The 13,924-nt window shown below is 41.8% G+C and overlaps 1 protein-coding gene across 5 annotated transcripts in view, besides 5 other annotated features; it reads left to right on the top strand.

Moving 5' to 3' along the window:
- Positions 12,440-13,428: an enhancer, noted in NCBI's record as "NANOG-H3K27ac-H3K4me1 hESC enhancer chr19:21512069-21513057 (GRCh37/hg19 assembly coordinates)". NCBI's record gives its function as "activates a minimal SCP1, AML or CMV promoter by ChIP-STARR-seq in naive and primed H9 embryonic stem cells {active_cell/tissue: H9 hESC(naive and primed)}" and the evidence as "EXISTENCE:reporter gene assay evidence [ECO:0000049][PMID:30033119]".
- Positions 12,440-13,492: a biological region, named in NCBI's record as "NANOG-H3K27ac-H3K4me1 hESC enhancer GRCh37_chr19:21512069-21513057".
- Positions 12,972-13,193: a silencer, noted in NCBI's record as "fragment chr19:21512304-21512525 (GRCh37/hg19 assembly coordinates)". NCBI's record gives its function as "represses an EF-1alpha promoter that drives an FKBP-Casp9 reporter gene in an ReSE screen in K562 erythroleukemia cells {active_cell/tissue: K562}" and the evidence as "EXISTENCE:reporter gene assay evidence [ECO:0000049][PMID:32094911]".
- Positions 13,285-13,924, top strand: part of ZNF708 (zinc finger protein 708) — a 38,251-nt gene continuing 37,611 nt past the window's right edge. For all 5 annotated transcript variants that reach the window (XM_017027203.3, NM_001297561.2, NM_021269.3 and 2 more), the window contains exon 1: positions 13,285-13,485. Coding sequence is in view for 1 of the 5 variants with exons in the window: in NM_021269.3 (NP_067092.2) it covers positions 13,483-13,485 (3 nt within the window). In the remaining 4 variants the exon portion in view is untranslated. The remainder of the gene's footprint in view (positions 13,486-13,924) is intronic.
- Positions 13,313-13,492: an enhancer, noted in NCBI's record as "active region_14384". NCBI's record gives its function as "activates an Ori minimal core promoter by ATAC-STARR-seq in GM12878 lymphoblastoid cells {active_cell/tissue: GM12878}" and the evidence as "EXISTENCE:reporter gene assay evidence [ECO:0000049][PMID:35858748]".
- Positions 13,533-13,732: an enhancer, noted in NCBI's record as "active region_14383". NCBI's record gives its function as "activates an Ori minimal core promoter by ATAC-STARR-seq in GM12878 lymphoblastoid cells {active_cell/tissue: GM12878}" and the evidence as "EXISTENCE:reporter gene assay evidence [ECO:0000049][PMID:35858748]".

Below are 13,924 nucleotides of genomic sequence, written 5' to 3'. Positions count from 1 at the left end.
GCATTGTGAAGGGCCCGATGGACAACCTGGGACTATTCAACCAATTATTACTTCTATACCTATAATTTTATGGGGAAGAGATTTATTACAACAACGGGGAGCACACATTCTAATTCCAGAAAAATTATATAGCCCTCAAAGTCAACATACAATGCATGAAATGGGGTATGTCCCTGGCATGGGACTGGAAAAAATTTTGCAAGGTTTGAAAGAACGGCTTCAAGTGGAAGACAAAATTTCTGCCAAAGATTAGGATATCATTTTTGATGGTGGCCATTGTTAAGCCTCCAGAACCTATACCTTTAAAATGGTTAACAGATAAGCCAATTTGGATAGAACAATGGCTGCTAAATAAAGAGAAACTGGAGGCTTTAGAGAAATTAGTTACTGAACAATTAGAAAATGGGCCCATAGCTCCAACATTTTCTCCTTGGAATTCTCCAGTTTTTGTAATTAGGAAAAAAATCAGGTAAATGAAGAACGTTAACTGACTTAAGAACCATCAATTCAGTTATACAACCTATGGGAGCATTACAGCCAGGATTGCCTTCTCCTGCTATAATTCCAAAAACTTGGCCTTTAGTAGTCCTAGATTTAAAAGACTGTTTCTTTACTATGCCTTTAGCTGAGCAAGACTGTGAATGGTTTGCTTTTACAATTCCTGCAATAAACAACCTGCAGCCTGCTAAGTGTTATCATTGGAAAGCGTTGCCACAGGGCATGTTAAACAGTCCTACAATTTGCCAGACGTATGTGGGGTAAGCAATTGAACCTACTCATAAAATATTTTTCACAGTGTTACATTATTCACTATATGGATAATGTAGTTTGTGCTGCCCCCACTTGAGAAATATTATTCCAATATTATGGTCACTTGCAAAATTTGACTCCTCATGCTGGTTTAATTATAGCCCCTGACAAAATTCAGACTACTACTCCTTACTCCTACTTGGGGACCTTAGTAAATGACACTACCATTGTGCCATAGAAGGTAACCATACATAGGGATCAACTAAAAACATTAAATGACTTTCAAAAATTTCTAGGGGACATTAATTGGATACGACTTGCTCTAGGCATTCCTACCTATGCCACAAGTAATCTGTTTTCTATCCTTAGAGGAAATCCTAGTCTTACTAGCCCTTGGCAATTAACAAAGCAGGCTAAGGAAGGGTTACAACTAATTAAAATGCAAGTCCATAAAGCTCAAGTAAATAGAATAGATCCAGAGAAGACTCTAGATTTGCTAATTTTTTCAACTCAGCATTCACCTACTGGTGTTATTATCCAAAAACAGGACTTAGTAGAGTGGCTTTTTCTTCCACATACTAATTCATGGACTCTAACTCCTTATTTAGATCAAATTGCAACTATGATAGGAATTGGGAGAACTCGGATTGTTAAATTACATGGATATGATCCTGGAAAAGTTATTGTCTCTCTCATGAATGCACAAATACAGCAAGCTTTTATAAATAGTCTTACTTGGCAAACTCATTTAGCTGACTTCGTGGGTATTCTCAATAATCATTTTCCTAAAATGGAGCTGTTTCAGTTTTTGAAATTAACTAATTGGATTCTCCCTGAAATAACTAAATTTAAACAAATTGAAGGTGCTGAGAATGTTTTTACAGATAGGTCTAGTAATTGTAAAGCTCCTTATTCTGGCTCGAAAAGTAAAGTTTTCCAGATGCCCTATACTTCAGCTCAAAAGCAGAGCTTGTAGCTGTAATTGAGGTATTGACTGCTTTTGATATGCCTATTAATGTGATTTCTGATTCTTCATACGTGGTTCATTCCACACAGTTAATTGAAAATGCTCAGTTATGATTTCATACAGATTAACACCTGATGATTTTATTTACCCAATTGCAAACAGCAGTTAGGAATAGACTGCATCCTTTTTACATCACTCACATTAGGGCTCGCTCATACACCTCTTCCAGGACCTTTGACTAAAGGGAATCAGATAGCTGATTGCCTAGTTGCTAATGCAATATCTAATGCTAGACATTTTCACAATTTAACCCATGCTAATGCCTCTGGTCTCAAACGCAGATACAGCATTACCTGGAAAGAAGCTAAAACTATTATCCAGTGATGCCCAACTTGCCAAATGGTACATTCCTCTTCTTTTACAGGAGGAGTTAATCCTTGAGGATTGGAACCTATAGCTCTTTGGCAAATGGATGTCACACATGTTCCCTTGTTTGGGAGACTAGCTTATGTACATGTATGTGTGGACATCTTTTCTCACTTTGTCTGGGCTACATGCCAAACAGGAGAGTCTTCTGCCTGTGTTAAACATCATCTTTTGCAGTGTTTTGCGGTGATGGGCATTCCAGCTTCTATTAAAACAGATAATGCCCCAGACTATACTAGCCAAGCTCTACCTACATTTTTCTCTATGTGGAATATTAAACACATTACTGGTATCCCATACAATTCTCAGGGACAAGCCATAGTGGAAAGAATGAATCTCTCCCTAAAACAGCAGTTGCAAAAGCAGAAAGAGGGAGACAGAGAATATGAAACCCCACAGATGCAATTGAATCTAGCATTATTAACTTTAAATTTTTTGAGCCTACCCAAAGGCCAGATGTTATCAGCAGCTGAACAGCATCTACAGAAACCAGTTGCAAAGACAGAAGCAGAACAACTGATTTGGTGGAGAGATCCAATAACAAAAAGTTGGGAAATAGGTAAAATAATAACTTGGAGTAGAGGTTATGCTTGTGTTTCTCCAGGACTGAATCAACAGCCAATTTGGATACCATCAAGACATCTGAAACCTTATCATGAGCCAGATGCCAAGGAAAAGACTCTGGGAGGATCCTGAGGACCCCCCGGTTGCAGCCATGTTGAGAGTGATGCTGAGGAGGACCCCAACTGTCATGAGCAACACCCATTGAACACAGCCACCCACCTGGGGACAAATCAAGAAGCTGTCATAAATGGCAGAAAAAAACCTGAGAAAAGCGAGACAACCAGTCACAACGAATAATTTAATGGTAGCTATGATAGTGGTTATCACCACTGCTGTGAGTATTCCTTCAATAAGGGCTGACACAGAGAACAATTATACTTATTGGTTATATTTATCAGTCTTGGCTGGCAATAATGCCTGGATGCAATCACTTTATGACACAGTTACACATGCTTTCTGATCTCAGTATTTACCATAATAAATCTGCTCCTATAATTGAGGCATACCACCCTCAAAAACCTATTTGTAAACAGGATTGGACCCAGTTAGAAAAAATGAACCTACTAGTTTAGGAAGATTGCATTGCAGAGCAGGCAGAGGTGCTGCACAATGATTCCTATGGAATCATTATTAATTGGTCCCCTAAGGGGATGTTTAGCTTGAATTCCACCTCTCAGTCTGCATGCCAGGCCCACACTATGTTCAGCTGGTCTGAACAAAATGGTCAGATGGTAGATATAATAAGAAGTACAGCAAGAGTTCCTATTATCTGGAACCATGGCAGTATAGTGGCACCTCAAATTCAAATGATATGGCCCACTCAAGGAGCTTAACATAAGGATTTAAAATTAAAAGAACAAATATTTAAAGCATCCCAGGCACACCTGGCCTTAATGCCAGGAACTGGAGTACTTAAAGGAGCTGAAAATGGATAAAAACACTTGAAAACTCTGTGACTTCAATGATGATTGTGCTTTTCATCTGTGTTGTTTGTCTTTGTATAGTCTGCAGATGTGGATCCTGACTCCTGCGGGAAGTAGCTCACTGTGACAAAGCTGCCTTTGCTTTTATCGATTTGCAAATCAGAGAAGGGGGACATGTTGGGAGCAGGCCTCCCAAAATCTGGCCATATACTGGCCCCAAAACTGGCCATAAACAAAATCTCTGCAGCACTATAACATGTTCATAATGGCCCTAAAGCCCATGCTGGAAGGTTGTGGGTTTATGAGAATGAGGGCAAGGAACACCTGGCCTGCCCAGGGTGGAAAACTGCTTAAAGGCATTCTTAAGCCACAAACGATAGCATGAGCAATCTGTGCCTTAAGGACATGTTCCTGCTGCAGTTAACTAGCCCAACCTGTTCCTTTAATTTGGCCCATTCCTTCATTTCCCATAAGGGATACTTTTAGTTAATTTAATATCTATAGAAACAATGCTAATGACTGGTTTGCTGTTATTAAATATGTGGGTAAATCTCTCTTTGGGTCTCTCAGCCCTGAAGGCTGTGAGACCCCTGATTTCCCACTTCACACCTCTATATTTCTGTGTGTGTGTCTTTAATTCCTCTAGCGCCACTGGGTTAGGGTCTCCCCAGCCGAGCTGGTCTTGGCAAAGGTAGGTGGACCACCTGAGGTCAGGAGTTCGAGACCAGCATGGCCAACATGATGAAACCCCATCTCTACTGAAATTACAAAAAATTAGCTGGATGTGGTTGCGGGAGCCTGTAACCCAGCTACTCAGGAGACTGAGGCAGGAGAATCGCTTGAACCTGGGTGGTGGAGGTTGCAGTGAGCTGAGATCATGCCACTGCACTTCAGCCTGGGCAATGAGCAACACTCCGTCTCAAAATAAATAAATAAACAGACAAACATAAATAAAAAATAAGTGTGTGTGTTTGTGTGTGTTGGGGGGTGACTATTCTAAATTATTAAAATAGGTTATGACATTTTTCTTTTGTCAAACATATAAACATGAGAAAACAATCAAAACTGCATGTTTTCTGCTATCCCATGGGCCATTTAAACATTTACACAGAAATTTTATTGAATTGTCCCTTATAACACATGTTTTCTTAAAGTAGAAAAGCTTTCTGATGTTAGAAATCTGCTGTTATACCAGTAGCTAAAAGGATATAAGGAAATGTTTCTCTCATGGGACATTTCTGAAAAAGTCTCTAATGATAAAGATACTTATTTCACTAGGCAAGTTTTCAAAATGTTAAATAAGGTATAATGGATACAATAGTATGAGAAAAGCTAACTACATTGACTGGATTGCTTTCATAATTGCAGATTGATGACAATCATATACACTTAGAGTGAAAAAAAAGTGTTGACCCTCATAGTCACTGGACTATAGGTGAAGGCCTATGCACCTAAAAATAGATCCTCTTGTATCTTCTGTTACTGAAGTCTAGTATGACTAAATGCAGCAAGATTTTAATGTATTATGATGAAGCATATTTTCACCAGGTAAAGAAAGCCTTTTAACAGTCTACTGACTGAGGACAGTAAGTCTTTATAATCTACAACCCAGAGATTAAATCTGCTTGCCATCTACACTGCAGTAAGACTTCAGGACCTTGAACCTTGGGTTCATAATCTCACAACTCTGAAGCAGACCTCCAAACTCTTACAATTTTATACCCATTGGAGATCTTAAGGTAAAGCTAACTAGGAATGTTTCTCCTCAAAAGGAGATGTCATCCTTGATGTAGATTGCTATTTTCACGAAATCAAAAATCAAGACATTTCTGCTATCATGACACTCTTAGTTCACTGTTTGTTGTTTGTCTGTTTTTTTTTTTTTTGTTTTTGGTTTTTTTTTTTGTTTTGTTTTTGGTTTTTTTGCCTCTGCAAACAAAAGAAATAAAAGGCTGGCACAGTGGCTCATGCCTGTAATCCCAGCATTTTGGGAGGCTGAGGCATGTGGATCACCTTAGGTCAGAAGTTGAAGACCAGCCTGACCAACATGGAGAAACCCCATCTCTATTAAAAATACAAAATCAGCTGGGTGTGGGGGCATGTGCCTGTAATCCCAGCTACTCAGGAGGCTGAGGCAGGAGAATTACTTGAACCCAGGAGGCAGAGGTTGCAGTGAGCTGAGATCGTGCCATTGCACTTCAGCCTGGGCAACAAGAGTGAAACTATGTCTCAAAAAGAAAAAAAAAAAAAGAAAAAGAAAAAGAAAAAAGGGATCTCTTGTGTGCACTCATGGGTTTTATTTTTATATGTAGAGGATTTTGCAGTCAACCTTATCTATGAACAAACTTATGCCTTGATAGATTAAAGATAAAGGGCCAATGTGGGTGAGACATTTTAATGGGACATTTGTTGCTTCATAACATCAGAAACAGAATATTGGTTCATTGCTCTTAACTTACTTTACAAGTTAAAGAGAACTTATTCAGAATAGGATAAAGAGCATTGCCAGGAGGCCATTGTTCTTCTGAATGAGCACACTTGGTAGGTTATTCTTTTCCGTGGTTTAGAGTAAATGAGACAATGGTTAGAAATTTATCCCCCATAATAGGGCTCTATAGCAGATTCTAGTCTAAGAATTACGGATACTCTATTGTAGAAAGTAAAAAGTTTCCTCTTCAAAGTTTCCCTTCTTGTTAAAGAATAATTTGTAAGTATTAAAAGTAATAGTTTCTTTTAAAGACTAACTTCCTTCAAGCCTCCTTGCTTTGTGCTAATAACTCTTTGTTAAGCCCTATCCTATGTAGCTGCTAGACATGCTCACAGGCACATAGTACATTCTATGTCCTTGTACCTTAACCAAGATATTTGTGCTGGACATGTTCACAGGCACGTTCCAGCTCACAGCCTATGCCCCTTCCCTATCTGGCATAAACAACTTCCTCCTTTCCTTTGTTCTCCCTTGCCTTTACCTATTTAGGAAAGTTTTAAATTATTAGCCAGTTGGGTTAGCTTAGATTGTGTGGTCCAGCTCCATCTAATGGAGACAGGATGCAGTAGCAGGGACAAGCTGCATAAGGGATAAAAGTTGTTTCCCTCCTTTGTTCAGGTGTGCTCTTGCCATTGTTCCATCTGGGGAGCACCCTTTCTGCAGAAAGTAAAATTGCCTTGCTGAGACAATTTTTTGTCTGAATGTTAATTTTTCCTTGCGGTACCAAGGAACAAGCATTCTGTTTCTAAATAAACATTTTACTTATAACATTTATAGACTTTAAATTTTCCGCCTAAGTTTGTTCTAAATAATAGAATTTCTCTAGATTACTTACTGGATAAAAAGAGAAGTATCTGTGCAGTTGCTAATACTTGTAGTTGCATGTGGAGAAATACATTGAGTATTACAGAGATTCGGTTGTTGGGGATTAATGAACAGTCTGCCTGGTTGAAATGAGTAGGCCATTTGTCTAGTTAACTATTTGATCTATTTAATTTCAGTTGGTTATTCATGGGAACCCTGGCCAAAAAGCATACTTAAAAGTTGTGGTATTATTTTTCTGATAAAAATTGCTTCCCTCCTTTGTTCAGGTGTGCTCTCGCCAGTCAAACCACCATGGAGAAACCCCATCTTTACTAAAAATACAAAATTAGCTGGGTGTGGTGTTGTGATAGTCAAAATAGTGTCTCCCTTTTGCAGTGTATTCTCTCAAAAGTTATAAATGTTTGCATGTAGTCATCTCTAGAATGTCAAATGGTCTCTCTCTCTCTTTTTTTTTTTTTTTTTTTTTTTGAGATGGAGTCTTGTTCTGCCACCCAGACTGGAGTGCAGTGGCTTGATCTTGAACTCCTGACCTTGTGATTCACCCACCTCAGCCTCCCAAAGTGCTGGGATTACAGGCACGAGCCACCACACCCAGCCCGAATGGTTTCTCTTTAACTGGCATTAAAAAAAACTCAAAGACATATGTGACCATGGGGACACCATAACCTATGAATGACATTATAAGGACAAAAACCCAAAATAATAAAAACTGAGAGTGGCAATAAGACCCCTGAGTTTTGGTCGCACTTTGACCTATGTGAGAACTTAACCTAAAGGAGAAAATGTTTTAAACAAAATTATTGAAGGCCATCATTCTGGACCAAGCTTGTGCACTAGGCCCAAACAGACCAAACCAAACCAAATGGAGTCACTCATGGTAAATGTGACACAATCAAACTGAAAATTTAAGGAAATAGGAAGATCTTTAGAATCTACAGGCCAGGTTTTGCTTTTCTTTTGTAAACAGCAGATTTGAACACAAGGAGGTCCCCTCTACTGTAATCCTTTAAAAAACTAATAACCTGAAGTCTTTGTTTCCACTTTTCAAAATCCACAGTTCTGCTATTTTAAAGTGGAATTTGAGACTAATTAAGTACTTTTTGTTGTTGTTGTTTTTGACATGAAGTTTCACTCTTATCACCCACGCTGGAGTGCAATGACACGATCTCAGCTCACTGCAACCTCTGCCTCCTGGGTTCAAGGGATTCTCCTGCCTCAGCCTCCTGAGTAGCTGGGATTAGAGGTGCTCACCACCATGCCCAGCTAAGTTTTGTATTTTCAGTAGAGATGGGGTTTCACCATGTTGGCCAGGCTGGTCTCAAACTCCTGACCTCAGGTGATCTGCCTGCCTCAGCCTCCCAAAGTGCTGGGATTACAGGCATGAGCTACCACGCCCAGCCTAAATAAGTACATTTTTTTTATGGTAACAGAGTGATATCATTATCTAAAGTTCTGGTCTATTTCTCAACATTGAGAAGATGTCCAAAAGGGAAAAATTATTAAATTATAGCCTAAAGCTGTTTCCTATTGTGTTTAATTTTGGTTAATAGGTTTTTTAATATATAGTAAATGGAAATCTAATTGGATATGTAAATAGACTGGAATCCATTTTTGTACCAACTGCTGTGTTGTTGCCAATAAGAGGACATCAACTGTTCAAACCATGTTCAAATAAGGCAAATTCCTGGCTTTAATCAATCTTGCTGTTTCTGTACCTCACTTTCATTATCTGAATGTCACTTTGCTTTGTCTGTCCATAAATATTTTTCTACCATGTGGCTGTGCTGGAGTCTCACTGAGCCTACTGTGGATCCACAGTCTGCCTGATTTGCAAATTATTCATTGCTCACTTAAACTCTGTTAAATTTAATTTTATTTCTCTAAAGTTTTTTTTCTTTTAAAAGTTTTCCAATTTTTTCTATGATGAAAAATATATAATGTGTTGTTCGGCTTTTTTTTTTTTTTTTTTTTTTGAGACGGAGTTTCACTCTTGTTGCCCAAGCTGGAGTGCAATAGTAGGATCTTGGTTCACTGCAACCTCAGCCTCCCGGGTTCAAGTAATTCTCCTGCCTCAGCCTCCCGAGTAGCTGAGTTACAGGCACTTGCCACTAAGCCTGGCTGATTTTTTGTATTTTTAGTAGAAACGAGCTTTCACCATGTTAGCCAGGCTGGTCTCAAACTCCTAACCTCAGGTGATCCACCCACCTCAGCCACCCAAAGTGCCGGGATTATAGGTGTGAGCCACTGTGCCCAGCCCAAATTTTTTCTATGATGAAAAATATATAATGTGTTGCTGGGCTTTGATTTTTTTTTTTTTTTGGAGGTGGAGCTTTGCTCTTGCCACCCATGTTAGACTTCAATGGCAGGATCTCCACTCATGGCAACCTCCGCCTCCTGGGTTCAAATGATTCTCCTTCCTCAGCCTCCCAAGTAGCTGGGTGTACAGGTGAGCACCACCATGTCCAGATAGTTTTGTATTTCTAGTAGAGATGGGGTTTCTCCATGATTGGCCAGGATGGTCTCGAACTCCTCACCTCAGGTGATCCACCCACCTTGGCATCTCCAAGTGCTGGGATTACAGGCATAAGCCACGATGCCCTGCCAGCTTTGATTTCATAAACTCAATCCTTAGCTATTTTTCCAAATTATTTTATGTCCTTTCAAATTGCTTCTGTAATTTATTGTATTTATTTATTTATTTTGAGACAGGGTCTCACTCTATTACCCAGGCTGAAGTGTAATGGTGTAACCCATCATGGCTCACTGCAGCCCCGACCTTCCAGGCTCCAGCAATCTTCCTGCCCCAGCCAACTGAGTAGCTGGGACTACAGACATGCACCATTATGCCTGGCTAATTTAAACTTTTTTTTTTCATGGAGACAAGATTTTACCATGTTGCCAAAGCTGCACTTGAACTCCTGAGCTCACGTGATTCTTCCATTTCAGCCTCTTAAAGTACTATGATTACAGGTTTAAGCCACCGTCTGCTTCTGGAATTTCTTGAGAGAATTATTCTCAATAATAAACAGTACCATATGGGCATGAATCTAAAGGACCTCTGTCCTCTATTGTAGAAGTTCCACTCTCCAGGATTTCAAAGGACTAGGGCAGATTCTGTAATATTGTTATCTATGGTGGTGCATGGGCTTTGAAGTCAGAATTTATTCTGAATCTCAGCTCAGCCACTTAGTAGCCGTTAGTCTTTGGACAAATTTCTTTCTGTGGAAGAGTTCTATAAACCACATACATTAAAAAGGGCAGAATAATAATGATTACCAAAATGGTAGCAATTTTTCATCCTCCTGTATTCTTGCCCATTGCCAGGTGCTTTTACAGTTGTTCCATTGAGATCCAGAATCTGTTTTCTGAACACTAGATCTGGCGGGTCGTACTTGCTCAGGGCAGTAGAAACCTGTGGACATGACAGTGGGCTAGTTTGGGGCCCAGGCTCAAATGGTCTTGAATGCTTCTGTTTTTATTTCAGAATGCTGCCATCTCCATGGGAAAAACCCACGTTGGCCAGTCAGAGAATAAGATACCATGGAAAGGAGAAAAAAAGTTGCCCCTGTTGACAGCTCCAGAAGCAGAAGCTCACTCCCAGAAACACAGCTGCTTAGTCAACAAGCAGCTGATGATACATGTCTAAAAATGCTCAGCTGAGACTAGAGAAATGGCCCCACTGAGCCCAGCCCAAATGGCTGACCATTTCAATTATGAGCTAATAAGTTTTGGATGGTTTGTTATGCTGCAATAGCTAACTAATACATGCACCCAGTGCAGACAGGATGCCAGGATTTAATGACAGATTCAGTACTACTTACCTTCACACAGTGGACACTCTAAAGGTACTATTTTTTCCTCTGATTTAGAGTTGGATGTCTTGTAAGGTAATATTGAGTAATGCAGAAATACACGTAGACATTGTATGCATGTGATTGGTGCCTATACCCACACAGTCCCTCATACCACAGGAGAAAATAGACAACCACGGCCTGACCATTAGGGCCAAGGCCAAATAGCAAGATAAGCTTGCCTTTAATCTATTTTTTTTTCATATCTAAAAATTGGAGGTCAAGAGTGTGGACGGGCCTGAAGAGACATAGGGTTCTCTTCTCCTTTGGCCCCATCATCCTTTGTTCACTGTCTGATCTCTAGAAGGAAGGAGGGCAATAGGTGGTCAGCAGTGGTTTACCTATGGTTATTTTATTCCTGTTGCCCTCTGCTCTTTTTTTTTTTTTTTTTTTTTTTTTTGTTGAGGCGGAGTCTCGCTCTGCCACCCAGGCTGGAGTGCAGTGACCCGATCTTGGCTCACTGCAACCTCTGCCTTCCAGGTTCAAGCGATTCTTCTGCCTCCCGAGTAGCTGGGATTACAGGCATGCGCCACCAGCCCAGCTAATTTTTTTTTTTTTTTTTTTTTTTTTTTTTTTTTTTTTGAGACGGAGTCTCGCTCTGTCGCCCAGGCTGGAGTGCAGTGGCGGGATCTCGGCTCACTGCAAGCTCCGCCTCCCGGGTTCACGCCATTCTCCTGCCTCAGCCTCCCAAGTAGCTGGGACTACAGGCGCCCGCCACTACGCCCGGCTAATTTTTTGTATTTTTAGTAGAGACGGGGTTTCACCGTTTTAGCCGGGATGGTCTCGATCTCCTGACCTCGTGATCCGCCCGCCTCGGCCTCCCAAAGTGCTGGGATTACAGGCGTGAGCCACTCCGCCCGGCCTGCCCTCTGCTCTGTCTATGACCACTGTCTGTTCTACCCTCAGAACCGAAGAGAGATGTTGGTAGGGAGAGGCTCTCTCCTCACCTCCGGCAGAAAAGGGATGTTCAGGTCGTTCACCCTCCTGATGTCAGAGCTGCACTTCAATGTAGCAGCTATTGGCCCTGTGTTGCTACTGGCTGCCTGGAATGCGCCTGGTCTGAACTGCGATGTGCTAGAAAGGTAAAATACGAGTTAGTTTCAAAGGTTTAGTTCCATATATATAGACACACTTCATTAATAATTACATATTTCTCACATATTAAAATGACAATATTTTCGATATATTGGGTTAAATTGTTACAATCAATTTCACCTGTTCTTTGTTTCTTTTTAAAAATAGAGCTAAACTCTTTTTAAAGTTTGGCTACAAATTAGCCGGGCATGGTGGCCAGCGCCTTTTATCTCAGCTACTTGGGAGGCTGAGGCAGGAGAATCGCTTGAACCCGGGAGGCAGAGGTTGCAGTGAGCAGAAATCGCGCCATTGCACTCCAGCCCAGGCAACAATGTGAGACTCCGTCTAAAAAAATAAAAATATAAAATAAAGTTTGGCTACTAGAAAATTTAAAATTTACATGTGGCTCACATTTTATGATTTTATTTTATTTATTTATTTTTTTTGAGACAGAGTTTCACTCTTGTTGTCCATACTGGAGTGCAGTGGCGTGATCTCGTCTCACTGCAACCTCCACCGCCCAGGATCAAGCGATTCTCCTGCCCCAGCCTCCCAAGTAGCTGGGATTACAGGCGCCTGCCACCATGCCCAGCTAATTTTTTTGTATTGTTTTAGAGACGGGGTTTCACCATGTTGGCCAGACTGATCTCGAACTCTGAACCTCAGATGATCCACCCTCTTCGGCCTCCCGAAGTACTGGGATTACAGGCGTGAGGTACAGCGCCCAACTTGTGGCTCACATTTTATTTCAGAGAATTGCCTCCTTTTTAAAATCTCAGGCTGCCTGCTCAAAGGACCAGAAGTCAGGAAGGTCACAAAATATAAAATTTTAGAACAGTTGGGCCGGGCGCAGTGGCTCATGCCTGTAATCCCAGCATTTTGGGAGGCCGAGGCGGGAGGATCACCTGAGGTCTGGAGTTTGAGACCAGCCTGACCAACATGGAGAAACCCCGTCTCTACTAAAAATACAAAAAAATTAGCCGGGCATGGTGGCGCATGCCTGTAATCTCAGCTACGCGGGAGGCTGAGGCAGGAGAATCGCTTGAACCCGCGAGGTGGAGGTTGCGATGAGCCAAGATCGCGCCATTGCACTCCAGCCTGGGCAACAAGAGTGAAACTCAATCTCAAAAAAAAAATTTTTTTTAGAACAATTGGGTTATTATATTCTTTTCATTTGTGAATAGCCATATAGCATATTATTTATAAGGGCATATGACCTTATACACAAGATTAAAGGCAAACACCCTCTCGGGTGGGCCTGGCTCAGCTCAGGGAGGAAGCCTTGCCTGAAAAGGCTGCAGCATAGGCTGTCACACTTCATTCAGCCCAGCATCTGATCACATCTTCCGTCCCTCAGGGCCTGAAGGGGCGGGTTTTAACATTATCCAATCAGGGACTCTGAGCTGGGGACAGTTCACTCAGACACGCAGCTGGACCGGACAGGGCGGCTTCCGGGTTTGGCGCGGCCTTTGTCTCTTGCTGCAGCCGGAGCTCCGGTCTCGTCTTCACTGCTGTTTGTCCTCTGCTCCTAGAGGCCCAGACTCTGTGGCTCTGTGACCTGCAGGTATTGGGAGATCCACAGCTAAGACTCCAGGACCCTCTGGAAGCCTAGAAATGGTGAGAGTGCCGTCCGACATCCCGAGAGAGGGGAAGGGCTGGTTGAAACCTGTGGGAAGTGGCTGTGGCGGGACTCAGGACTCCCCGCAGTCATCTCCACAATCTGCGCTCCGAGTTCTCCTTGCCTAGCTCGGCCTCAGTCCCCTTCAGCCATAAGATGGCGGCTGCGCCGACAGCCGGGCCCCCGGGCGTCCTGTCTCTTCCCTGCGCAGTGACTGTGCCCTGGCCTGCAGCCCTCTCTGGGCGGCTCTGCACCGGCAGCGCCGCGCCTCTCCCAGATTGTGCAGGGACCATGGGAGGGTGGTCAGGGGAGAATCCTGACTTGGGGTCGGGTTCATGAATGGGAAGAGCTTTGGTCTGTGGGGTTCCCGGTTCCTATTTTCTCCTATTAAAAATCTGTGGCAGTCATCGCAAAAAATATTAAAGAATTTAATCAAAG

This window comes from Homo sapiens, chromosome 19 (assembly GCF_000001405.40).
Source record: "Homo sapiens chromosome 19, GRCh38.p14 Primary Assembly".
NCBI lineage: Eukaryota > Metazoa > Chordata > Mammalia > Primates > Hominidae > Homo > Homo sapiens.
The sequence above is the reverse complement of the archived record's forward strand: the minus strand, read 5'-3'. Positions and strand labels throughout refer to the sequence as shown.